The sequence below is a fragment of the Homo sapiens genome, chromosome 4 (genome assembly GCF_000001405.40).
Source record: "Homo sapiens chromosome 4, GRCh38.p14 Primary Assembly".
NCBI lineage: Eukaryota > Metazoa > Chordata > Mammalia > Primates > Hominidae > Homo > Homo sapiens.
Genome location: NC_000004.12, coordinates 127,591,491 through 127,619,222, shown reverse-complemented (window position 1 = coordinate 127,619,222; position 27,732 = coordinate 127,591,491). Strand labels below are relative to the sequence as shown.

The window sequence follows — 27,732 nt, the reverse complement described above, 5'->3', positions numbered from 1 at the left end:
CCAATAGGTCATTTTTCAATCCTCACTCCTCTCCCACTCTTCCTGCTTTTGGAATCCCTGGTGTCTATTATTCTCCTCTCTATGTCCATGTGTACCTGATATGGTTTGGCTCTGTGTTCCCACCCAAATCTCATGTTGAATTGTAATCCCCAATGTTGGGGGAGGGACTTGATGGGAGGTGATTGCATCATGAGGTTGGATTTCCCTTTTGCTGTCCTCATAATTGTGAGTTCTCATGAGATCTGGTTGTTTGAACGTGTGTAGCACTTACCCCTTCACTCTCTCTCTCTTGCCAGCCATGTGAAGACCTTGCCTGATTCCCCTTTGCCCTCCACCATGATTGTAAGTTTCCTGAAGCCTCCTCCTCAGACGAAGCCTACACAGCCTGCAGAACTGTGAAGTGATTAAACCTCTTTTCTTTATAAGTTACCCAGCCTCAGGTATGTCTTTATAGCAGTGTGAGAACAGACTAATACAGTATCCATCCCTTAGCTCCCACTTATAAGTGAGAAGTTGTGGTATTTGATTTTCTGTTTCTGAGTTACTTCACTTAGGATAATGGCCTTCAGCTCTACCCATATTTCTGCAAAACACATAATTTCATTTTTTATGGCTGCATAGTATTCCATGGTGTATATATACCACATTTTCTTTATTTAATCATCCATTGATTAACACTTAGGTTGATTCCATGATTTTGCTATTGTGAATAGTGCTGTGATAAAGATTTGAGTCCAAGTATCTTTTTGATATAATGATTTCATTTTTTTAAATAGATATCTACAAGTGGAATTGCTGGATTGAATTATAATTCTATTTTTAGTTCTGTGAGAAATTTCCATACTGTTTTCCACAGAGATTTTACTAATGTACATTTTCAACAATAGTATAAAAGTATTCCCTTTTCCTCACATCCTTTCCAATATCTATTGGCTTTTTTTTGATTTTTTAATAATAGAAATTTCTGGCACATCTTTAAATTTTTTTTCTCTTTTTCAAACTTCTGTCTCTAGGTATACATGGCAAGCAGGGGCCAGATTATATACACTGCCTTAAAGATTATGGTCTTTATCCTCAGTGCAACAAAATAAAGTCATTGAAGAGTTTTAAGTAGAGGACTGACATGATGACATGGTGAGCTATTTTAAAAAATTCACCCTGGTTTGGTCTATGAAGAATGGATAGCCAAGAATGAGTCTTAGTTGTTGTTGTCATTGCCTTTAGAATGGAGTGAGTCTTGAAGGACAGCAATATTTAATGGCAGGATAGAAGAATATATGCCTGGAAAGGACACACAGAAGTGGCCAGAGAAAGAAAGGACTTAAATCACGGAAGCAAAGGGAACTTAATATTTCCGCTGGAAAGTCAAGGATGATGAAGCCTGAAATATGTCCTTTGAAGTTAGGCACAAGAAGTTCATTAGTGAGTGCTGATTGTATGGAGTAGTGGTGGTGGGGAGATGTATTGAGACAGCTGGGAGAGTGAGTTGGAGGGGAGGAAGTGCAGGCAAAGAGCAGAAATAGCTCTTCTGCAAAGTTTGCATCAGAAGAGAATTAGTTATGGGTTAACATGGTGTTAAGGCAGATTTCTTCCTTCCTTCCTCTATTCTTCCCTCCCTTACCTTATTATAATGTCAGAGGCTTGAGTAAGGTTAAAATAACTGTGAGGATAATCTATTAAATAACTGAGAGGAAGAGGCTGAGCATAAAAGGAAGAAAAATGAGTTGTCTTACAGAGAAGAGGGGTTACTGCTCTCTGGTATCCTGTGGACAACAAATCAGGGCAGGTGTGAAGGTTTGTAAGTTAAATGGTTGAAGATGGAGTCTTCTAGTCAGGGGGCATTATGGGTTGGTTCATGTCCCCTCAAAATATACATGGCAATCCTAACCCCTGGTACCTGGATGTGACTGTATTTGGAGGAGTATCTTTGCAGATGTAATCAAGTTAAGATGAGGTCACACTGAATTAGGGTGGGTCCTAATCCAATATAACTGGTGTCCTTATGAGAGAGGAGAAGAGAGACATACACACACACACAGAGGAAAGTCAATGGGAAGACACAGAAAGACAGTGACATAAGACAGCAGAGGCAGAGATCAGAGTGATTCATCTATAAGCCAAGGAATGCCAACGATTGCTGCCAGCACCAGAGGCTAGGAGCAGGCATGCGACACATTGTTGCCAAGAACCTTCAGAGAGAGCATGGCCCTTTCATCACCTTGATTTAGGGCTTCTAGCCTCCAGAATTGTGAAAAGATAAATTTCTGTCATTTTGTGCCACCCAGTTTGTATTAATTTGGTATGACAACCCTAGGAAACTAAGACAGCTGGATTCTATTTTTGGGTGTGTAAAATGGGAGACAAGATCATCTGCTAAATATGAGAGGGCAGGTAGGGGATGGAGGTTTGAAAACAGCATGGAAAAGATCACGCTGATGTAGTGAGAGGAAGACAGGGCTGACCAGTGTAATAAATGTAAAGAACTTGTCTGGCATGTTCAGGGCACTGGTCAGCAGGATTTCTAAAATGGCCCCCAAAAGACATTCTACCCTAATCCTCAGAACCTGAGAATGGGCTGAGGTATCAATCCTGTAATGATCTGATATTATATGGCACAGTTGATGTTAAGATGGGGAGATTATCTGGGTGGGAAAGATCTAATTGCATGAGCCCTGAAGAGCAGAGAGCTTTCTCCAGCTGATGGCAAAAGAGGAAGTTAGAGAGATGCTCTTGAGAAGAACTCTGTGGGGCATTGCTGATTTGCAGATGGAGGGGCAGCCTCTAGAAGCAGAGAGTGGCCCCTGGCTGACTGCTGGCAAGGGTACCTCAATCCTACAACTACAAGGAACTAAATTCTGCCAACAGCTTGGATAAGCTTGGAAGAAGATTTTTCCACAGATCCTTCAGATAAGAGGTTAGTCCTGCTGAATCTTTGGTTTTGCCATGTAAAACCATAAACAGAGAACCATGTTGAGCTTGCCTGGACTTCTGGCCTACAATATGTTGAGCTAGTAAATGAGTGTGTTTAAGACTGCTAAGTTTGTGGCAATTTTTTAAATGTAGCAATGGAAAACTGATACAGGGTATTTTCAGGAATGGTGATGGCCAATGGACTATGAACAATTCCACCCAGTAGTCCCTGTGGATGAAAATAATCTCTAGCAGTGCTTGGCAGCTCTGATGCAGACATAATTTCCAAGACACCATATTCTTCTGACTATAGTTCTTTTGCATTTTTTGGTTCCTCTTCTCCCAAACTCTAAAGGTTGGAGCTCTCACCAGAAGTCACATATCTAGTAATTGCCTTCAAACATCTTAAAGGCCACCATGTGGAACAGAGATTGTCTTATTCAGTATATATTCTGAAGTTAGAATTAGGACAAGTAGACTTTATATGAGGGCAGATTTATACTTACTATATAATGCAAGTTGGGCTTTTTGAGAAGCTGACTCTGAGATAGAGATTTCCATATAGGAAGTTTATTGATCACAATAAACTTAGGATCAATAACTATAGGGGAGTGAAGGAAGGACTGGGCAGAGGGAGCTGTTGAATGGTAACGCAGGCTTAACAAAGACCTCAGCTGACCCCATGTGCTTCAGATGAGATGGTCCCTCAGAGTTGTTCTGAGTTGAAGCAAGAGGGAAAGGTCCTTGTAACCTCTTAACCAGTCATTTAAACTAGAAAAGAGGCATAACCTTGGGCAAGGTAATTATCTTCAGCTGAAGGAAGTTATTGGTGAGGAACTCAGCTGAGAATCACAGCTGTCAACATTCCCAGCTGGGTGGAAGAATGAATGCTTGCCTCCTAAAGGCGGGGATGAAAGGGGCGGAGATCAATGTGCTCCACAGCATCTAACACGATGTAAAAGAAGATGCACCAGTGTGATGGGGCTCTATGTCACTAAAGGGGTTCGTCAGTAGAGGTTGCAGGACCCCTGGCAAGGATGTTGCACTAGTGGAATCTAGTATTGAACAGAAAAATGAAGTGGAGTGTGAGTCCTTAGAGAATTTCTGAAATTCTTTTTATTCTCTGGCATTTCCAGTGGCTACAGGTGTCCATTCCAACACTGGCTCACTCTTGCAGCTTTAATGTAGTGACCATTTATGAGCTCTCTGCCCTAGGAAGAAGATATAGCATGAGTCAAAGTATGGAATGATATATTAATACTTGACTACCCTTGACACATTGGATTTAATTGTGTTCTTCTACCCTCAGGACAGTACATATGTAGTCAGGAAAGTTCTCCAGGTGGCCTTGGACTGGCCCAGTTCTCCCTCCTTTCTCACATGTAGTTCTCAAGAATAATCGTAGAATGTGCTAGGAATGCAGTAGCCTGAGATAAGGAGGAATTGGCCACAACGGCTCAGTCAGCCCTAGAAACAGAATGCCCTCCAACACTTTAGCCCACTGCGTCCTGTAGCTGCCAGGGTATAAAACCCAGAATGGGCTGCTTCCTGGGGTCCTTCAGCTGCATTTTAAGTGGGGCACATGGAGATGAGACTCCATCAGCCTTGGGTAGCTTTCTTGAGTCTTGGGGGACTGGCTCATCGTGAATCCTAGGCTTTTGTTGTCCTTTGCTGACTATCTGTGAGTAATAAATATGCTTCATGTAACTTCTTTTTTTTTTTTTTTTTTTTTTTTGAGATGGAGTCTCACTCTGTCACCCAGGCTGGAGTGCAGTGGTGCGATCTTGGTTCACTGCAGCCTGCACTCCTGGGTTCAAGCGATTCTCCTGCCTCAGCCTCCTGAGTAGCTGGGATTACAGGCATGTGCTACCACATCCAGCTAATTTTTGTATTTTTAGTAGAGATGGGATTTCGCCATGTTGGCCAGGCTGATCTCAAACTCCTGACCTCAGGTGATCTGCCCATCTCGGCCTCTCAAAGTGCTGGGATTACAGGCAGGAGCCACTGCACTCGACCTGCATGTACCTTCTTAACATGTGTGAGTGTTTTGTCTCACTGGACTCCCACAAGTAGTACAGGTGCAGCCCGGGATGCAGTGGGCTGAAATAATAACTAGTGCACAGTGAAACTGCTTTGCACATAGGAGGTCTAGATTTTTAAAATTATAGAAATATCTTAATCTAGTCATTACTCCTTTAGAAAGAGTAACTTTCTTCAGTTTTTATAGTTGGCAGAGCAGGCTTCTCTATTTCTATTTACACATCGTTATTTAGGAGGAGTCTTTTAGCTTAAAAATGGGTTAGAGCTATTATCAATTATCTATAAAGAGTTTTGTTTTTTAGTTAGGTTCAGCCTTCTGAAGAATTTGAGAATCCATCATTGCACTGGAAAATGGAACAAAAAGTCGACTTCAAAGGACCTTGCCCACAAAAGACACCAGAATGGTGGGTCATCTGGCAGGGCGAGGCTGGAATATGTGGGAGGTGAGGTAGGGGCTGAGAAGGAATACGGAAGACAGAGCTTCTGGGTACACACCAGCCTGTGTAACGTAGGCGGGAAAGAAATGTTTTTTACCTGCTGAACTCTGTGCTCATGATAGGATTCTGATAAGACTGTTCTTTTTGGTAATGTTCTATATGTGTATACTCTTCCAGACATTGAGAGGCATAACGGCAGGGTTATAACAATTTAGCATTTCTGACTTTTCCTCATGCATATTATTTATTTAACAAATATTTAATGAATATTATTAAATGCGAATCACTATATCATCCATTAAAAATGCTTTTAATGTCCTATATCACTTGGTTCTTGTTCTATCTTCCTAACCAGATGAGGCATCTTGTTAGATTTTTGGCATCCTCCAGGGTTAGGGATCCTGGCCACTTTCTCAGGAGTTAGTTTTCAGCTCTGATGTACCAAGCTCTACCCTGTCTCAGGCTGTCCCACTGCTGTCACTCTAGAACATAGCAGGAGCATTTATACCACCACCATCTGATACCCAATTGATAAACTCTTGCCATTTCCTGGACCCCTGAATGCATATTCAGGTGTTTTCATCATTGAATAATAATATGTGTGTGGAGTGACAGATAAATAGGATGATAGGCAGATATGTAGATAAACTTTTATTTGCTTGGGGCAGGGCGCGGTGGCTCATGCCTGTAATCCCAGCACTTTGGGAGGCCGAGGCAGGTGGATCACTTGAGATCAGGAATGAGACCAACCTCGTCAACATGGTGAAACCCCGTCTCTACTAAAAATACAAAAACTAGCCAGGCATGGTGGCATATACCTGTCATCCCAGCTACTCGGGAGGCTGAGGCGGGAGAATCCCTTGAACCTGGGAGGTGGAGGTTGCAGTGAGCAGAGATCGCGCCATTGCACTTCAGCCTGAGTGACAAGGCAAGACTGTGCCTCAAAAAAAAAAAGTTTTATTTGCTTGGATCCAAATGCTTTCTGTGTGCAAACCCTTACAACAAAATAGGTGGAAAGGGCTCTTTCCTTGCTCTATTCTCTCTGGGGCCTGGCATATGCCTCCCTCTTCAGGAGCTGGAAATTCGTTAAATGGCATAGAGCACCAGCGGTGAAACCTCTGACTTCTTCATTTGAAAGATACAACTCAGTCTTAGAGTACGGGAGTGTGTTTTGAACATTCAACTGGATGCTGTGTGTTTGTGTGAGCTGCTAACAGTAATGCTGTCTCATAATGCATGGTATCACCCTTCACTCTCCTTTTAATGGCATCACACGGATGAAAGGTAAGCATAAGAATGTGTAAGAACCTGTGTAGGAGGTAGGAATAGACAGTGAAATGCTACAAAGACGCGGTGCCTTTGTTAAGTGTCTTTTATTCTGTTGTGGTCCAGATATAATTAATGACACAGTGAAGTTGTAAAAATAAGGATGGTGTGTTCACATAACTGAGAATTAAGGAAGTGAGAGGAAACCTAAGAGGAGATAAGGCAGTGGTTGCACAAAAAATCAGTGTTCTGACCTTTAATGGACTAAAGGGAATTTGGTAACTTCAAGCAAATGCCTTCTGTAGGGGAAAGACAGCACAATTTATTCAAAGTTATCGTGTCTGGCTCATATATTAATTTTGGGGGCATATATGAATAAGGATGCACAGAAACAATAGACATAATTTGTTTTATCATTCAAAAAGCCTTTCACAAAATTTTCCATCAATGTTGCAATGGGAAAAGATGAAGCGGGTAGACAATTTAAAAGGTGTAAAAAGTCTTAGAGACATAAAATGAAAAGTCTCTGGGAATAGAATTGTCATCAATAGAGGCCTCCAAAAGGAAAGGTAGAACTGGATGGGTTTAACAACTTATAAATACTAGAAAGTCAGAATAGGCAGTGACATACTTGAAGATATTGCTTGTTGCTAAGCTATTTTGGGAATTTTAATGACTATGGAATAAACTGGTAACTACATGAATAGACAAAAAAGGCATATTAATTTCAGTGATTGAAAATATATGAAAAATTAATCCAAATTAGATTTATCTATGTGTTATCAGTTATGAACTAGGTGAAAGACCTGAAAATCAGTTAAGGTGTAATCTCAGTGTCGACAGCCTAGAAATTCAAGATTTTAAACAAAATGTTGATACAAAATAAAGGTTATCATCTACCCTAGGTCAAAGTCATGTGCTCTGATAGCAAAATTCCATGCATAGTTTTAATAGACTCCATAATAAGATAATAAGAAAATAGGAAAATGTTTCCAAAGAGGTAATTTAAATGATCCTAAAAATGGGTGGGCTGAACGTTTGTAAGAGATCAGGAATACAGGTTGGAAAGATGACCAGGGAATGTGATTTATTAATTTTTTCTCAACTTTTTTATTTTGAAAAATTGCCAACCCTCAAAGAAGTTGAAATGAACATCTATATGCTCTTCACCTAGAATTCATCAATGAGCATTTTTTACATTCATAATCTCCGTTTTTCCAAATTCTTTGAAAATAAGTTGCGGAGGTCACATTGTTTTTTTCCTAATACTTTAGCATCTGTTTCCAAAGAAAAAAGACATTCTGTTATGTAACCACAATATTATTATCACAATATGACTGACACATTAGTGTTATCTAATAAATGGTCCACATTTTCAGATTTCCAAATTTTTCAATAATATTTTAGTTATTTTTTTAAAAAAGCTAGAAGCCAATCAATAATTATTTGTGCATTAAGTTGTCATGTCTCTTTAATCTTTCATTTTAAACATACTACCAGTCCTTTTTTTTTCTGGTTTTGGTATTGACATCTATGAAAAGTCTAGGCCAGTTGTTTTGTAGAATAGGCCACAATTTGGATTTAAAAAATATATATATATATATACTGGGTCTCTGTCACCCAGGTTGGAGTGCAGTGACGCGATCTCGACTTGCTGCACCATTGCCTCCCAGGCTGAAGCAATCCTCTTACCTCAGCCTCCCCAGTAGCTGGGTCTACAGACATGTGCCACCACACCCAGCTAATTTATTTTGCATTTTTATTAGAGATGGGGTTTCGCCATGTTGCCAAGTCTGGTCTTGTACTGCTGGGCTCAAGCGATCTACCTTGCTTTCCACAGTGCTGGGATTACAGATGTGAGCCACCATGCCTGGCCCATGATGTGGATTTATCTTATAGTTTCCTTATGACTGTATCAGGTTAAACATGTTTTAATATGAATAATACGTAGGTGATACTGCTTTCAATGCATCCCTCCAGGTTGCATATAATGTCAACTTGCCTCATCATTGGTAATGATGAGTTTAAGCACTTGGTTAAGGTGGTGTCTGCTAGATTTCTCCACTGTAATAGTAACTTTTCCCATTTGTAATCAATAAACAATCTTTGGAGTGATGTTTGGAGTCTGTGTTCCTCAATAACTTTTTAACCAAGAGTTTTGGTGTCCATGGAAGATTCATACCTATTTTCTCATTCTCTCATTGCTTTTATATTATTAGCTGGCATTCTTTTAAGGATGAACTCCCTCTACCTTTTTAAAGGATCACTGTTGCCTTGCAGATTCTTTTTCTATTTTTAATGTGTTAAAATCCATTCCATAGTTATTCTTTTTGATGCTTAAATTGTTCTGACTCCAGTGGTCCTTTGAACATCTCCATCAATTTTTCAGAATTCTTTTGCTTTCCAGCACAATACAATATTTCAAATTCACCTTGAACTTTCCTTGCTCCAAATTTGTAATCAACTGTTTATCAAAGAAATTCATTAAAAATTATTTATGTATTTATTTAAAAGTAAGGAGTGGTATTTAGACACCAAGATCTGGGTGTTGGGAGAGAGACAATTCTGTGCAGATCTCTCACATTTCTGTGCACCTTGTGATGGAGGGAGTCCCAACTCTTTGTTCTGGACTCCTTTTTCCAGGGTGTTTGTGAAGTGAACAGCCTTGGAAGATAGAGATAATGTCTTTCTCCATAACAAAGGCCAGGTTTGTTTACTGTCCAGTGTAATCAAGATAATGTCTCTCTCTGGGGCAAATGTCAGACAGCCTTCCCATTCTACAAGATTCGGCTAAGTTCAGGGTTTTTTTCCTATAACAGAACCCATTGCGTGTGCAGACGTCACTTGGTTCTTTTCACGTTGCTCTGTGGGAATTGAGGTTGGAGAACAGGAGCAAATGCTGTACTCTGGGAACTCTATTTCCACGAATAATAAAGTCCTTTGTTGCTGACCCAGGAGTTTCTTGTGTTCTGCTGGCATTCATGAAACTGGCAGGCTAGCTTGTCAGGTTTCAAGTAGGATAAAATCTCAGACTCTGTATTCTTGACACTGGGGAATGGGTGTGTTTACTGCTACTGATGTATCATTGCTTCCATGCCTTTTCAATGGAGAAAACTAGGAATATATTTTTAAAAAATCACAAGTTGATACTAACAACTCCTATTTCAAAACAATGCCATTAAGTTCTTCCTCTCCTTCCCCTAATCCATATTTACATCTCCCTTCTCCAACAGAGAGAGCCCCAGTTCCTAAGAATATCAATATATTCACACAATTGCTCTTTCCTGCCTTTCATATAAATTGGGATTAGAATTATTATGCTAAAGTCATTATAAGTTCAGTAGTTGTTTGCAGTTTTTTTTGTCCTTACAGTATATCACACCCAAGATGCAGTCACATTACTGTACTATAAAGATACTTCAATTCTCTTTTTTTTCTGATTATGTTACCAATTTGGTATTGTTCTGACTCCAGTGTTCCTTTGAACATCTCCATCAATTTTTCAGGATTCTTTTGCTTTCCAACACAGTACAATATTTCAAATTCACCTTGAACTTTCCTTGCTCCAAATTTATAATCAACTGTTTATCAAAGAAATTCATTTTAAAAATTATTTGTGTATTTATTTAAAAGTAAGGGGTGGTATTTAGACACCAAGATCTGGGTGTTGGGAGAGAGACAGTTCTGTGCAGGTCTCTCACATTTCTGTGCACCTTGTGAGGGAGGGAGTCCCAGCTCTTTGTTCAATTTTAGACCTGCATAATACTGCATCTTGTTTATTCAACCAGGTTCCTATGCATGGGCATTTTGATCGTTCCTAATATTTTACTATTATCAGTAATGCCATATTGAATAACCTTTTGTTTTGGGTGAGGTATACCTTCAGGGTAAATTCCTAGAAGTAAAAATGCTGGAACAAAGAATAAATGCACATGCAATTTGCTAATACCCTCCTAATAGATTACATCATCTTGTAGTGCCATGTAAAAAGTTTGAGAGTGCCCTGTTCATTTCTCCTTAATGGTGTGTATGGAAAAGCTCCTGAATTTTTGCCTATCTAAAACGTGAAAAATTGTGTTAGTATTTGGCATTTCTAATTATATGTGAAATTATGCATCTTTTCATGTGGGGGGAAATCGGTGTGATTGTTATACATATGCATATGTCAAAGCTCATCAAGTTAAATATTTTAAATGTGTGCCACTTATTGTATGTCAATTATAGCTAAATAACACTTTTTTTAGTTTAAAAAATTAAGGAGTGAAAAGAGACTAAAACCCCAAAAGAAAAATGAAAAGACAGGAGCAGGCAGTTAAAAAAGAGACAGATAAATAAATACTCTTTAATGATATGCCTTAAAATTATGGCATAAATTTAAATTTTTAAAAAATTTCTTTCTGTGAAACTTAACAGGAAAATTACAGTGTATGCCGTCTCAACCCAAGATAACCAAACACTTTTCACAGATAGAAAAAAGATCATTTGAATAATATAAATATAAGTAATAAAAACAACTTGAAAGTAAATAAACAGGTCATACATAAAATGTAACATGATGAAGATTTATTATATTCTCCAAAGGAGGAAGAAATGGCTTCATAGTGGGTGGCGAAGGAGGATGTGGGGGGTTGGGGAGTCATTCTTTGAAAGGTGCATTCTTTTTTTCTGCATGATCTTCATCAATTTTTTTGACTTTAGGGAGATCACAATTATTTGCACTCAAATTACACTTAAAAATAAAGTTTATAGGCCGGGCGCGGTGGCTCACGCCTGTAATTCCAGCACTTTGGGAGGCCGAGGTGGGCGGATCACGAGGTCAGGAGATCCCAGACCATCCTGGCTAACATGGTGAAACCCCGTGCAGTTCCAGCTACTCGGGAGGCTGAGGCGGGACAATGGCGTGAACCCGCGAGGCGGAGCTTGCAGTGAGCCAAGATCGCGCCACTGCACTCCAGCCTGGGCGACGGTGCGAGACTCCGTCTCAAAATAAATAAATAAATAAATAAATAAATAAATAAATAAATAAAAAATAAAGTTTATAACAGTTAAGGCCGCCTTCAAAGAAAAATACAGGGTAGACATTACAGTGCTTTGAAACACACGGAAACAGCTAATGTGTAGCGCAAACTGCAGAGCATAGATCTGTTGGCATAGGTCCACACAGAAAAATATTTTTGGACCATCCAGACGTGGAACTCAATTCAAATTTGCTCCATTTTGAAATTTCCTGACTAGAAATGTATTGAGTAAAATGGTGACTTTTTCTAAAATTGTAATATTGAAATATCAGTTTTTACAGTAAATCTACTTAGCATGTTTTTTTGGGAAAGGTAATTATAACAAGAAAAAAAAAAACCCAGATAATGTGAAAGTCAGTATAACTTTTCAAGAGGTATGATGGTAAAAATGTCATTGAAATCAACAATCATTATATAAACTGAGCTTGTATTTCAATGCTACTATTCTAATGGATAAGAAAAGCTGAAATTATCATGTCTAAGTAAGTAGTTTACTTTGGTAGAGGTACTGATGATTCATCAAATATACTGCTCTTGTAGACACTAAACACTTCTAAATCTGGTTATCACATGCTTTCTTTCATGTTTTAACTCAGAACCTTGATTTATGCTTTCCATTGTTTTTGGATAAAATCCAAATTTCCTGATTCTGTTGAAAGAGCCTCCACAATTTGGTTCTCACAAATCTCTTCAGGTCTTCTATTTTCACCCTTCCTCTAGAGCTCTGTGTTTTAGCTATGTTGAAATGGTTTTACCTTCTAGAATTTGACCTACTTTATCTCACCCAAAGGCCTTTTAAAACCTGTTTGCTCACATTAAACACCCTACCTTTTATCCTGATTTGATGGTTACACAATATATACATGTATCTAAATATCGTGTGGTACCCTATTAACTATGTAAAATTATTATATGTCAATAAAAATAAAATAAGCATAAAAACCCCAACCCTGCCTTTTGTTCTTTGCCTCATTCTCTCCTACTGAGGAGTCTCAGCTTAAATTTCAATTCTTTGGAAGGTCTTCCGTGTCCCCAGATTAGGTTAGCCCTTAGGTTCCCTTGCTGGGTGCTTCCAGAGTACTGTGTATTTCCTTAATTACAATAGCTTTTATTATAATGCTTGCTTCATTGAATGCCTTCTGAACTTTCAAGGGCAGGTACTATGAATGTCTTATTTATTCCTGTCTCTTCAGCATATAGCAAGATCTCTGTAAGTATTTCTTGGATGGATGAATAAATAAAAATGTATACGAACTATGCCATTAAATATACACTTTTAATATACTGTTGTCAACTCTGTCAGTTAAAAATTGGGGGCTTTTAACCCTATCATTAACATTTTTATTACAAAAATATATTTATATTTATCTGTTTCTATTTCCCTGCAATGAGAAGGACAGAATTCTGAAGCATAGACACAGAATAAATAATGCCTCCTTGCTGTTACAATTTACTTGGAAAAAGCATGTCTACTTTATAAACATTGTTATTTTTATCCTATACTTTCTGATTGGCACAGGACAGATATTAAAAATATTATACTTTATAACCTGAAACGTGTTTTTTAAACTTAATTTTTTTTTGCTTTTTAAATATATATATTTTCAGAAACTCATTGCTTGCTAACTGAAACCTGTTTTAAAGCAATACATTTTCTATAGAGAAGGTATTTTGGATAAAAAGAATGATGACGTAGCAAGTTAGAGATTCGGGAGAGCATTTTAAGTAGTTCAATTTGTTTAAGTATTGAATATGAAATTTAAATCACATTTTACTCTTTCCTTTAAAAGTATACAAATGTTTAAAACAATATTATTAAAAACTTTATTTTAGATATTTAACAATATTGGAATTGGTTGCTTTATATTAACATTGCAGTTTTAGCTAGTCCATGGTATTTGGAAAAAAATCAGGTTTACAATGGTGATAAATATAATGCAAAAGTCTTAAAATGATTTAAAATGATGACTTAAGAGTTGTGAAATAATCAGCCTAAGCCTGTATTAAATTAAGAAGTTTCCTCTTTTAGTTTTGAAAAGCAAAAGGGCTCCACCTGGTGTTGAATGAAACTATAGACTTTTTAAAATGATTTGATGATTTTACATTTTCTAAAAATTGAAATTCAAAATGCTTTTCTCGATTTTCTGTTTATAGTAATGCTATTGATATTGTTCCAAAATTACAGGGACTTAGTTCTTTTATGAAGTAATTAATGTATGTCTGATAAAAAATGTTTCCTTTAACATTTTAAAAGATTTTAGAGAAACTTCTCTCATGCACCTTCCCTTCATCCTATCTTTGGCAGGCATGAAAATGCACCTCACAGACAGAGCACCCAGCTGCTGTGCTTTGAAGTCAGCCACACCTCCCATTCATTGCTGTTACCAATGGACTGACTGAATGCTGTGGCGATACTGAGGCCGTCTTAGTCCCGGAAGACAGGTGGGGCTCCTTTGTCCACCGCTTAGGCTGGAGTACTTCCCCATGGCTTTGACAAACAATCCTTAGACTGCAGAGTAGTGTAGGATTCTTCCATTCAACCTTCTCTCCCTCATCCTGGGGTCAGACTTGGATGCAGTCCGACAGCTGTCCCAGCCTTTCCTAGCTCCTTCTTTATTTCTTTTTACACAGGCATTTCCCACTATTAAAATCCTGACATATTTAATCCTGTCTTTGTATCTGTTTCTCTGAGGTCCTGGGCTAACACAATTTCCCTTCTGGAACTTTTATGAAAAATGAGCAAGTGGAGACATTGATCTTATTTTCTAATATCTGGGTGATCTACTATTTGGTTCTTATGCATTAAATTAGATTTTGAAATCTTAAACTCAGGTCCGGGTCTCTTTGAGCTTTGCTAATTAGTGCATGGTGTGGAAAAGCTCATGTGTCCTAGGGAACCACTTGACACTTTGATGCTCCATGGCATCAAAGCATGAAGAATGAAATAAAATGGTATAATTATTTTGTATTTTAACTATAAGATCTCAAAGGATGTTATAGTTAAAATTCAAAGTAATTATACTATTTACATGATATAACTATATACCATATAAGGTATAAAGGCTCTCTGTGATCCTTTAATTCTCCAGGATCTCAGAGAAACAGATGCAAAGACAGGATTAATAAATATAAATAAATTTATATAATAAAAATATTAAAGATAGGGTCAAAAGCCTCCAATTTTTAACTGATAGAGTTGACCAAAGTATATTAAAATAATATACTTAATTACTTAATTTAGTCAGCATGTTATTGTTTGCACTAGTCACAAGGGCTTTTGGACAAGAGTGATGATAAATCAATGCAAATCCAACATCGCTTCTAGAAAAATGCCTTCTCATGCCTGTAATTCCAGCACTTTGGGAAGCTGAGGTGGGTGGATAACCTGAGGTCGGGAGTTCGAGACCAGCCTGACCAACATGGAGAAACCTCATCTCTACTAAAATACAAAATTAGCCAGGTGTGGTGGTGCATGCCTGTAATCCCAGCTACTCGGGAGGCTGAGGCAGGAGAATCACTTGAACCTGGGAGGCGGAGGTTGTGGTGAGCCGAGATCGTGCCATTGCACTCCAGCCTGGGCAACAAGAGCAAAACTCCATCTCAAAAAAAAAAAAAATTTTTTTTTTACTGATGAAGAGAAGGACTTTAATGTCATTTTAACCCACACAACAAATCATATTTAGTGTTATTTTTCAATATTAAGTGCTGGTGATGATGCAAATGCATATTCAGATTTGTTGGCTCTCATTGAAATGGGATATACATTATTGGAGTATCCTAGAGAATAATCAACTATGTGAAGTGAAAGACACTTCAGTTCCTGATAGAAAGGCAATAAGCACCAGTAACTTGCGATTTCTGGAAACTGCCCAGGGATCTTGTGTCATTCCATGTGCTTGGTTTGCTTCTATCTCACTGATATTTACACTAAGAGGTTAATGCAACTCTAGGAAAATAAAACCTCAGATTACTTTGTAGTATAAGAGAATGGAAAGAAACCATAGCCTGGGAGGTAGAATATCTGCATCTGAGTCTTGGCTTCACTTACCTTGGGTAAGCCACTTACCTTCGTTAAACTTCCCTTTCCTTATCTGTAAGATGGGGCTATAACTCTCTGACTCCCATTCACATGGTCATAAGGCTTAAATGAAATAACCCACTTGAGAACACTCAGTAAACTAAAGCACATTGCATTTTTAAGGTTTATATAATCATAGTTTAATTGTATTTCTAATAAAATTATCTGCTAAAAATATAAGTAGGTATTCTGATCTTTCATAGGAATTTTGACATTTATAGTACATGTAAAGATATTTAAGTAAAAATTTTCTGAAACAACTATTTAAATAAACAAATATGTTTTAAAATAGATCTTATTTTGCTTTGCTTCTTTCATGTAAAATACATAGATTATTTACTAATAAAGACAAATATTATAACTTAGCTACCTTTTGGTAGGTTAAAAATGGAAACAAAACTAAGTGTAAATTTGAATTGCATGAAAGATCTGGAGAGACAGAGAGGTTAATTCTCTCCCTTCAATTTTTGAGGCAGTGGTGGAGGAAACACATTTTTATAGAACCTGACAATTAAAGCACAGAATGAAAGAAGACATCTTTGTTTATCTGTAGACCTGAGCAATGAATAATATTTTTGTTTTAATTTTTTTATTGTGCTCTTTTATAGGTTTTCATGAAAGTAAATTAATAATGTAACATCTCCACAAATCCTGTTTTAAAACTGTAGCTGATAATGTTCTTACATGATAAAATATTGTCCATAAATTATTCATTTGTAGTTAAAATACAAAATAATTATTCCACTTAATTTTGTTCTTCATGCTTTATGCAACCACTTAACTGTGATAAGTATAACACTGTTATTATGAAGTAGTTTAATTAGGCATCCTTATTCTGGTTAACTTAAGCAAAAAGAGGAAAAAATGAGCTACTGATATTTCACACAGACTCCAAGGAAAAGCTGAACATCTAGGCCTTGGGAAGTGCAGGAACAGGAGGCTCTGAGGTCTAGGGAGAAACTTTTCATCCCCTCTTTGCTCTGCCTAAGATACTCCTTAAGTTAAAGTCTGGGTAAGGTTGCACTCTGAGCCCATTCCTTGGTCCTGAAGAAAGTAAAATACCTTCCGTGAAATGCCAGTTTTGTGCAATACAAGAGGGGTGGTCCCCAAAAGAAAGTGAAGGGATGCTGGGCAAGAAAATAACAGATACTCACTACTTGATGTAGTCAACTCAAATATTTTCCAATGACTTTTTTCATTTGTGACAGTTATAATCACTTTCCTTAGTTTCTAAGATGACATGCACTATCTGTTAAGTCATGACAAGCTCAGATATTCACCAACATGGTTTTTGATGTTCGTTTCTTCTCTCTAAGCAAATGCTACACTAGATAGACCAGGCACTGGTGCTTATCACTGAGGTATTGGTATTTTTTTATTCTTGGGATTGTATATTCTTGAAATGATTGCTGCCGTGTAAAGTTAAGTCAAGGCACACTGGAAAATTGCAGGCTTGGCGAGTGTCCAGGTAAATGGTATTCTTTACTGCTTCCCTATGGCCATTATTAACAGGATGACTTGAGCAGAGGCAGCAGATGCCCGTGGGAATAGTGTTTTATCTTCTAGAGATAGAAGCTCTGTGTATGCATGCTCATGGACAGGGCACAGGTATGGCTTTTGGGACAAAATATGTGTATTTGCTGCTTTGAGAATGACTTCTTCTTTCAGAGGCCAATGTGGGAGGATTGCTTGATCCAGGAGTTCGACCCAGCCTGGGAAACATAGCAAGACTCTGTCTTTACAAAAAATAAAAAATGAGCTGGGCATGGTGATGTGCACCTGTAATTCCAGCTATCTGGGAAGCTGAGATGGGAGGATCCTTTGAACCCAGGAGTTCAAGCCTGCAGTGAGCCATGATCGCGCTGCTGCATTCTAGCCTGGATGACAGAGCAAGATCCTGTCTCAAAAAAAGACTTCTATAGGTACTTTAGTTTAGAGTTAGCTAGAAAATTAGTACTAGAAATGAGGCTTGATGTATGTTTCACATCTGAAAAACTCTCAGGAAATCTCTGATTTCTATCACCATTATGTATACATTACAATAATATCTGTTGTTTAGATTGGACAATATGTATTGCTACTCTTATTTTTTATTACATTTGAGACATTTTACATATTCAGATTCTGTTTTTTATAATTTACTTTTTAAATAGTTATAAAAATATCATTTAAATATATAATTTATCTTTCTGTTATTAAAACAGATATTCTAGCAAGAAACACTAGAGGGCATTCACTGCTTTGTTCAAAGACATTGGTCCACTTTATATGCAGCTGTTCATATGTGATGCAATTTGTTAATATGCTTGAGAAATTAAGTATGAAAATTTTCATTTTCTAAAATATCTCAGCATATTATTGAATACTGAAACAACAAAAACCAAAAAGTGGATAAGTAGGTCACAGGGCACAAGAATATCGAATTTTTCATATTGGAAACAAATCTTTAAATAATCTTTAATGTGACTTAATTTCCCTTAAAATAAGTCAACAAATAATACAAAATATCAAGTTTTTAGCATTTCTAGCGCACAAAAAATCTTGATATAATTTTAGACTTACCTTTATTTTAAACGCACCTGGAATTTAAAAACACAAATAAATTATGTAGAAGCATCAATGAGTTAAATCATTCATTTCCCAATTGTCATTTTATTATAAGATATCACTGAAATTATCCTGCTTCTATTTCCATTCTCAAGTTTTCTTATTACACCTACCTATCCTTTTGCTGTCTATTCAATTTAACTTATTTATGCATTCAATTCTCTTATTGGGCACATTCTCTATGCATTGCTTTGGGTTTGTAATTCTCAAAATACTGTGTATATGCTACAACAAAATATGCTCAAATAATTTGAGTAAGAACAAATCCTCATGAACTATAGAGATGACAGAAAGAAGAAGTAGTTTTTTTAGCCTCAGTTTCTTTTTTGATAGGTTTACTTTATTTTATATTTTATTTATTATTATTATTGTTTTTTTTGAGACAGGGTCTCACTCTGTTGCCCAAGCTGCAGTGCAGTGGCAGGATCTCGGCCTGCTGCAACCTCTGACTCCTGGGCTCAAGCAATCCTTCCACCTCAACCTCCTGAGTAGCTGGGGCTACAGGCATGCACCACCACACCTGGCTAATTGTATTTTTAGTAGAGACAGGGTGTTGTCATGTTATTCAGGCTGGTCTTGAACTCTTAGGCTCAAGCAATCTGCCTGCCTCGAACTGTCAAGGTGCTGGGACTACAGGAGTGAGCCACGGTGCCCTGCTGATAGGTTTATTTTAGACTGGACATCTGCCTAAATATTCTTATTGGCTTAAGTTTAGACCAAACTATGTAAAATAATCTGAACAATTTTATAGATAACTTTATAAAACCACATGGCTTAACGAAAACCTAAAAAAGCAAGTGTTTTCTTAACATTTTTACCCCTAATTTTTATATTTATATGTGGAATTTAAAAAAATGCAAGTATCACAAATATGAATCTTAGCATATCTCTCCCCTGCCTTCATGAACCCATTTTTAGATAAAATTATCTAATAAAAGTTAAGTAAATTTTGGCCCAGTGCAGTGGCTCACGCCTGTAATCCCAGCACTTTGGGAGGCTGAGGCAGGCGGATCACGAGGTCAGGAGTTTGAGACCAACCTGACCAACATGGTGAAATCCCGTCTCTACTAAAAATACAAAAATTAGCCGGGCGTGGTGGCATGCACCTATAATCCCAGCAACTTGGGAGGCTGAGGCAGGAGAATCGCTTGAACCTGGGAGGTGGAGCTTGCAGTGAGCCGAGATCACGCCACTGCACTCCAGCCTGGGCGACAGAGAGAGACTCCATCAAAAAAAAAAAAAAGTTAAGTAAATTTAAACTATATGTATGAAATCCTTTAAAAAGTATAAGTGGTGTATAAATGTAAGCAGCTGTCATTTTGGGGTTTAAATTTTGACTTTGGTATTTATCAGCTCAGTGTTTTCATCTGTAAAAATGAAAACGACAACTCATTTGATGACTTTCCTCCCTTTTTGCATCAGTACTTTCCTGAGAAATGACTATCTAGCTGATGGATCGTGTCTAGGTGCTGCAGAAGGTGGGGAACCATATGAGGAGCAAGAAAGAAAAAAGCAAGGAAAAAAACCACATGAAATTTAAAAAAATTATAGAACGATAGGAATGAATTTTTCAATTGTAATGTAACACTACCAACCTAAAAAGATGATGACAGAAAAAATTGTGAAGGACTATTTACAGGTCTTTTAAGTCACTGCCCTTACTGTATCTTGGTTCTCAAGATACTGTATGAGTTTTCTGTTTTACGGGTTTTTCCAACACATTTTGAAACTTTCACTGGCTTCTTCTAATCCGCACTGTTTGTGATCTGTCTCCTATGTTATGTCAGTGTGGGATTAGGAAATGCAATAATAAGTTACATTAAACATAATTAGAAAAGCAAATCTATTAGCATTCCAAAAAATATATGACTTTTGGAGTATTCTTTTTTTTTCTGTTTGTAGTTAGCTTCTTTAGTGTAAAGATAATTAGGAAGTTTCACTAATAAACTTGCCCTCTTTTGATTGTGCAATTAGCTCTGAGACAGCAAAGTTCAAATGGTGTATCTTTTTTTTTTTGCAAACAATGACTCTGTTTTAGAGTCAGTGCTTTTGTTCAAATATTGTAGAGGTCTTTTGGTGTGGGATAAGGGTGTATTCTGGGAGGTAGCTGGTGGTGACATCAGAATCAGTAGGAGCATATATTGTTTTAAGAAGCACATTTCAGCTTTGAACAATGAGAACACTTGGACACAGGTTGGGGAACATCACACACCAGGGCCTGTCATGGGGTGGGGGAAGGGAGGAGGGATAGCATTAGGAGATATACCTAATGTAAATGACGAGTTAATGGGTGCAACACACCAACATGGCACATGTAAACATATGTAACAAACCTGCACGTTGTGCACATGTACCCTAGAACTTAAAGTATAATAATAAAAAAAGCACATTTCATTGTATAATTACTTTGATGTGTTCTTAATCATTTTACATTGAAAGTTTGAATAACATTTAAAAAGGGCCTGAGATTTTTAGATTTATTAGAAAGAGGCAGTAGGTTTAAAAGAAGGTTGAAAGATAGAAATTATTGGGCAGCTACTTTTGGCACAAAATGATCCTTTGTTTTGCAAAAGGAAATCTTGTACTCCAAGATTCCTGGATATATAGCACATAATTTGATCTTTAAAAATTTTATTTACCCACATTTTGGAGGGACTATATTTACTTTGGAAATAGGGCACATCTAGAACTTTTTTCTTCCCCTTTAATTTTGCTAATATGCTGAGCAACTCCTAGTTCTGATAACTACCAGAGAAAGTGAGGAATTTAGGGTAACAGCATTCACTGACAGGGGAGCTTCTGTCACAGAATCCTGAGAGTCTCTGGGACCTTGAAAGAGTGAAAGAAACTTTCATGTCACCATACTCCTCGCAATCCTACAGTCCATATCTAATTGCTTCCACTGACATTTGACTGCTCCAATATTTTGTCTTCCCCTTAAGCTATTGACATTATCTGGAACCTGCCTCACCCTCAGCCTGCCTGCCTGACTCTTCACTGTCAAGAGGCCTTGCTACACACAGTTTCTTTAGCTTTCTCCTTTTTTCCCTCAAAACATTCTGTCTTGTAATCCCCTGATCAACATCTTCAGAGACCCACTTGCATATTTCAAACTGAGTATGTATCCTTCAGCCTGGTATTTAGGACCCTCTATAATTGGCTGTCTCTGTATAACCTCTCATGACTTATTTTATTCTCTACACTCAAGTCAAACTCATCAATTTGCTTTTTTTTTCTTGAAAATGTGCTACATTTTCTCAACTTTTCACATTTTCTCTTGCTGTTCTATTCACCAGGAATACTTTTTTTCATTTTCATCTGTAAAAATTCAAGCCATCTTCCAGATACATCTAGATGCCAAGTTCTTGGTTACGCCCTCCCTGTTCTCATTTGGATGTCACATCCCTTTCCCCCCCTGAATTATGCACTCAGCTTATGCCTTTACCAGGTCTTATATTAAGACCTACCTTATATTAAAGCTATTTTATATTTTTCTTGAATTCTGTTCTTGAGGACAGAAGAGTATCTTAATCCAAGTTTTGTCTTGTTTTTTTGAGACAATCTGGCTATGGTGCCCAGGCTGTACCACAACTCCTGGGCTCTAGTTATCCTCCCACCTCAGCCTCACGAGTAGCTGGGCCACAGAGGTGGTGTATAGTATTATTTTTTCATGCAATGTCTAAAACAAAGCTTGACCCACGGTAAGTGATCAACAAATATTTGTTCAGGCTGGCCTGGGCAAAGCAGTGAAACCCTGTCTCTATAAACAAACAAACAAACAAACAAACAAAAAACAAAACAAAAAAATTAGCCGGGCATGGTGGTGTACACCTGCAGTCCCAGCTACTCAAGAGATTGAGGTGGGAGAATCTCTTCAGCCTGGAAGGCAGAGGTTGCAGTGAGCCGTGATCGTGCCTCCGGCCTAGGCGACAGAGCGAGACCCTCTCTCAAAACAAAAACAAACACACACACACACAAAAAACAGAAATAAAATATTTTTTGAATTATTTTCTGATAATGTGGGGTGATTTTAAAGATTGATTTTCAACATAACACATTTCTGGAAACCATATTATAAAATAGATTGTTATAAAGTAGCTTATGTTTTGTATTGGAATGATATAATTCTCAGGGGCTTGGTATGTGCCTGATCATCAATTTTGGCATAATATTACCAACAATATGTTTTAAAAAGCGAGACTTGGCCAGGCATGGTGGCCCATGCCTGTAATCCCAGCACTTTGGGAGGCCGAGGCAGGCACATCACCTGAGCTCAGGAGTTTGAGACCAGCCTGGCCAACATGGCAAAACCCCTTCTCTACTAAAAATACAAAAATTAGCTGGGTATGGTGGCGTGCGCCTGTAATCCCAGCTACTAAGGTGGCTGAGGCAAGAGAATCGCTTGAACCTGAGAGGCGGAGGTTGCAGTGAGCCGAGATCACACCATTGCGTGATCACGCCCATCCAGTCTGGGTGACAAGAGCGAAACTCCGTCTCAAAAAAAAAAAAAAAAGGGCAAGCCTTTAAATTCAATAACTCTCAATAGTCATTTCCTCAGACTGTAAGTATAGTGTTGATTATATAGTGTTTTGAAACTGGGCAGAATCACACAGAATCACCTTTTCCAAACTTCCTCAGTTTATGAGATGACAAAGAGGTTGAATGACTGCTCAAGGTTTTACAGCAGGTTAGTGGCAGAACAGTGATTAAGACTCAAGTTTTCTGATCTCAGTTAAATAGCTTCTTCAGGACTTTATCATATCTCTTTAATAAAGTTCACAATACGAGTTTAAAGGTACTTTACCTATTTATTATACCAGGTTCTATGACAATTGCCTTCAAGTGTAAATATAGCTCATAAAATATTCCTATGGACCTATTCCTAGGGTCTCTGAATGTGTCTCCTCAGAATTCATATGTTGAAACCTAGTTACCAAAGTGCTGGTATTAGGAGGTGAAGCTTTTTAGAGGTGATTGGACGAGTGCCCTTGTAAAAGAGACCCCAGAAAGCTGCCTTGCCCCCTCCACCATATAACACAGTGAGAAATTGGAAGAGGGCACTTACCAGAACCCAGCCATGCTGGAACCATGATCTTGAACTTCCCAGCCTCCAGAACTATGAGAAATAAACCTCTGTTGTTTATGAGCCATCCAGTTGATGGTATTTGTTATAGCAGTATGAATGGACTAAGACACTTACGTTGTGTTTTTCTTATCTAAATGTTATTTTAGTTTAATATAGTTGTGTATTGCTTAACAATGGGAATGCATTCTGAGCAATGCTCTAAGTGAGTTTACCATTGCATGAACATCATGGAGTGTATGTTCACAAACCTAGATGGTATAGCCTACAACATACCTAGGCTATATGGTATAGTCTACAACATACCTAGGCTATATGGTATAGTCTATTGCTCTTTGGCTACATACCTGTATTGAATACTTTAGGCAATTACAACCACTGTGTATGTCAACATAAAAAAGGTACAGTAAAAATATGGTATAAAAGGTAAAAATGGTACACCTGTATAGGGCATTCACTATGAATGGAGCTTGTAGGACTGGGAGTTGTTCTGAGTGAGACAGTGAGAGAGTGGTGAGTGAATGTGAGGGCTGAGGACTTTATAAACACTGTACCCTTTGGCTACACTAGATGTATAAAAAATATTTTTCTTTCTTCAAAATGAATTAACCTTCACTTACTGTAACTTTTTTTTTACTTTATATGCTTTAAAATTTTTTTAAATTTATGATCTCTTTTGTAATAACACTTAGCTTAAAACACAAACGCATTGTACAGCTGTGAAAATATTTTCTTTCTTTATATTCTTGTTCCATATGTTTTTTTCTTTTTTTTTCAGCACTTTTATTTTTTTATTTATTTATTATTATTTTTTTTAAATGTTTTTTTTTTTTTATTATACTCTAAGTTTTAGGGTACATGTGCACATTGTGCAGGTTAGTTACATATGTATACATGTGCCATGCTGGTGTGCTGCACCCACTAACTCATCATCTAGCATTAGGTATATCTCCCAATGCTATCCCTCCCCACTCCCCCCACCCCACCACAGTCCCCAGAGTGTGATATTCCCCTTCCTGTGTCCATGTGATCTCATTGTTCAATTCCCACCTATGAGTGAGAATATGCAGTGTCTGGTTTTTTGTTCTTGTGATAGTTTACTGAGAATCATGATTTCCAATTTCACCCATGTCCCTACAAAGGACATGAACTCATCATTTTTTATGGCTGCATAGTATTCCATGGTGTATATGTGCCACATTTTCTTAATCCAGTCTATCATTGTTGGACATTTGGGTTGGTTCCAAGTCTTTGCTATTGTGAATAGTGCTGCAATAAACATACGTGTGCATGTGTCTTTATAGCAGCATGATTTATAGTCCTTTGGGTATATACCCAGTAATGGGAGGCTGGGTCAAATGGTATTTCTAGTTCTAGATCCCTGAGGAATCGCCACACTGACTTCCACAATGGTTGAACTAGTTTACAGTCCCACCAACAGTGTCAAAGTGTTCCTATTTCTCCACATCCTCTCCAGCACCTGTTGTTTCCTGACTTTTTAATGATTGCCATTCTAACTGGTGTGAGATGGTATCTCATTGAGGTTTTGATTTGCATTTCTCTGATGGCCAGTGATGATGAGCATTTTTTCATGTGTTTTTTGGCTGCATAAATGTCTTCTTTTGAGAAGTGTCTGTTCATGTCCTTCACCCACTTTTTGATGGGGTTGTTTGTTTTTTTCTTGTAAATTTGTTTGAGTTCATTGTAGATTCTGGATATTAGCCCTTTGTCAGATGAGTAGGTTGCGAAAATTTTCTCCCATTCTGTAGGTTGCCTGTTCACTCTGATGGTAGTTTCTTTTGCTGTGCAGAAGCTCTTTAGTTTAATTAGATCCCATTTGTCAATTTTGTCTTTTGTTGCCATTGCTTTTGGTGTTTTAGACATGAAGTCCTTGCCCACGCCTATGTGCTGAATGGTAATGCCTAGGTTTTCTTCTAGGGTTTTTATGGTTTTAGGTCTAACGTTTAAGTCTTTAATCCATCTTGAATTGATTTTTGTATAAGGTGTAAGGAAGGGATCCAGTTTCAGCTTTCTACATATGGCTAGCCAGTTTTCCCAGCACCATTTATTAAATAGGGAATCCTTTCCCCATTTCTTGTTTTTGTCAGGTTTGTCAAAGATCAGATAGTTGTAGATAGGTGGCGTTATTTCTGAGGGCTCTGTTCTGTTCCATTGATCTATATCTCTGTTTTGGTACCAGTACCATGCTGTTTTGGTTACTGTAGCCTTGTAGTATAGTTTGAAGTCAGGTAGTGTGATGCCTCCAGCTTTGTTCTTTTGGCTTAGGATTGACTTGGTGATGCGGGCTCTGTTTTGGTTCCATATGAACTTTAAAGTAGTTTTTTCCAATTCTGTGAAGAAAGTCATTGGTAGCTTGATGGGGATGGCATTGAATCTGTAAATTACCTTGGGCAGTATGGCCATTTTCACGATATTGATTCTTTCTACCCATGAGCATGGAATGTTCTTCCATCTGTTTGTATCCTCTTTTATTTCATTGAGCAGTGGTTTGTAGTTCTCCTTGAAGAGGTCCTTCACATCCCTTTTAAGTTGGATTCCTAGGTATTTTATTCTCTTTGAAGCAATTGTGAATGGGAGTTCACTCATGATTTGGCTCTCTGTCTGTCTGTTATTGGTGTATAAGAATGCTTGTGATTTTTGTACATTGATTTTGTATCCTGAGACTTCGCTGAAGTTGCTTATCAGCTTAAGGAGATTTTGTGCTGAGACAATGGGGTTTTCTAGATATACAATCATGTCGTCTGCAAACAGGGACAATTTGACTTCCTCTTTTCCTAATTGAATGCCCTTTATTTCCTTCTCCTGCCTAATTGCCCTGGCCAGAACTTCCAACACTATGTTGAATAGGAGTGGTGAGAGAGGGCATCCCTGTCTAGTGCCAGTTTTCAAAGGGAATGCTTCCAGTTTTTGCCCATTCAGTATGATATTGGCTGTGGGTTTGTCATAGATAGCTCTTATTATTTTGAGATACGTCCCATCAATACCTAATTTATTGAGAGTTTTTAGCATGAAGGGTTGTTGAATTTTGTCAAAGGCTTTTTCTGCATCTATTGAGATGATCATGTGGTTTTTGTCTTTGGCTCTGTTTATATGCTGGATTACATTTATTGATTTGCGTATATTGAACCAGCCTTGCATCCCAGGGATGAAGCCCACTTGATCATGGTGGATAAGCTTTTTGATGTGCTGCTGGATTCGGTTTGCCAGTATTTTATTGAGGATTTTTGCATCAACGTTCATCAAGGATATTGGTCTAAAATTCTCTTTTTTTGTTGTGTCTGCCTGGCTTTGGTATCAGAATGATGCTGGCCTCATAAAATGAGTCAGGGAGGATTCCCTCTTTTTCTATTGATTGGTATAGTTTCAGAAGGAATGGTACCAGTTCCTCCTTGTACCTCTGGTAGAATTCGGCTGTGAATCCATCTGGTCCTGGACTCTTTTTGGTTGGTAAGCTATTGATTATTGCCACAATTTCAGATCCTGTAATTGGTCTATTCAGAGATTCAACTTCTTCCTGGTTTAGTCTTGGGAGAGTGTAGGTGTCGAGGAATTTATCCATTTCTTCTAGATTTTCTAGTTTATTTGCATAGAGGTGTTTGTAGTATTCTCTGATGGTAGTTTGTATTTCTGTGGGATCGGTGGTGATATCCCCTTTATCATTTTTTATTGCGTCTATTTGATTCTTCTCTCTTTTTTTCTTTATTAGTCTTGCTAGTGGTCTATCAATTTTGTTGATCCTTTCAAAAAACCAGCTCCTGGATTCATTAATTTTTTGAAGGGTTTTTTGTGTCTCTATTTCCTTCAGTTCTGCTCTGATTTTAGTTATTTCTTGCCTTCTGCTAGCTTTTGAATGTGTTTGCTCTTGCTTTTCTAGTTCTTTTAATTGTGATGTTAGGGTGTCAATTTTGGATCTTTCCTGCTTTCTCTTGTGGGCATTTAGTGCTATAAATTTCCCTCTACACACTGCTTTGAATGCGTCCCAGAGATTCCAGTATGTTGTGTCTTTGTTCTCACTGGTGTCAAAGAACATCTTTATTTCTGCCTTCATTTTGTTATGTACCCAGTAGTCATTCAGGAGCAGGTTGTTCAGTTTCCATGTAGTTGAGCGGTTTTGAGTGAGATTCTTAATCCTGAGTTGTAGTTTGATTGCACTGTGGTCTGAGAGATAGTTTGTTGTAATTTCTGTTCTTTTACATTTGCTGAGGAGAGCTTTACCTCCAAGTATGTGGTCAATTTTGGAATAGGTGTGGTGTGGTGCTGAAAAAAATGTAT

The 27,732-nt window shown here is 37.7% G+C and overlaps 1 long non-coding RNA gene across 2 annotated transcripts, besides 3 other annotated features; it reads left to right on the top strand.

Moving 5' to 3' along the window:
- Positions 1–1,017: 1,017 nt before the first annotated feature.
- On the top strand, positions 1,018–14,336 carry LOC105377412 (uncharacterized). Of its 2 annotated transcripts, none has more exons than XR_939185.3 (3): positions 1,018–1,134; positions 5,253–5,354; positions 13,977–14,336. It is a non-coding gene; the product is annotated as an uncharacterized LOC105377412 (long non-coding RNA). The 2 variants fall into 2 exon arrangements; XR_001741827.3 differs by lacking the exon at positions 1,018–1,134 and adding an exon at positions 2,780–2,914.
- Positions 13,729–14,552: an enhancer, noted in NCBI's record as "OCT4-NANOG hESC enhancer chr4:128525826-128526649 (GRCh37/hg19 assembly coordinates)". NCBI's record gives its function as "activates a minimal SCP1, AML or CMV promoter by ChIP-STARR-seq in naive and primed H9 embryonic stem cells {active_cell/tissue: H9 hESC(naive and primed)}" and the evidence as "EXISTENCE:reporter gene assay evidence [ECO:0000049][PMID:30033119]".
- Positions 21,155–21,449: a silencer, noted in NCBI's record as "tiled region #5357; K562 Repressive DNase matched - State 9:DNaseU". NCBI's record gives its function as "represses a minimal TATA promoter and a strong SV40 promoter by Sharpr-MPRA in K562 cells {active_cell/tissue: K562}" and the evidence as "EXISTENCE:reporter gene assay evidence [ECO:0000049][PMID:27701403]".
- Positions 22,248–22,417: an enhancer, noted in NCBI's record as "experimental_73569 CRE fragment used in MPRA reporter constructs". NCBI's record gives its function as "activates a minimal promoter by MPRAs in K562 erythroleukemia cells, with activity observed for both the introgressed and non-introgressed 4:128518046 variant alleles {active_cell/tissue: K562}" and the evidence as "EXISTENCE:reporter gene assay evidence [ECO:0000049][PMID:34662402]".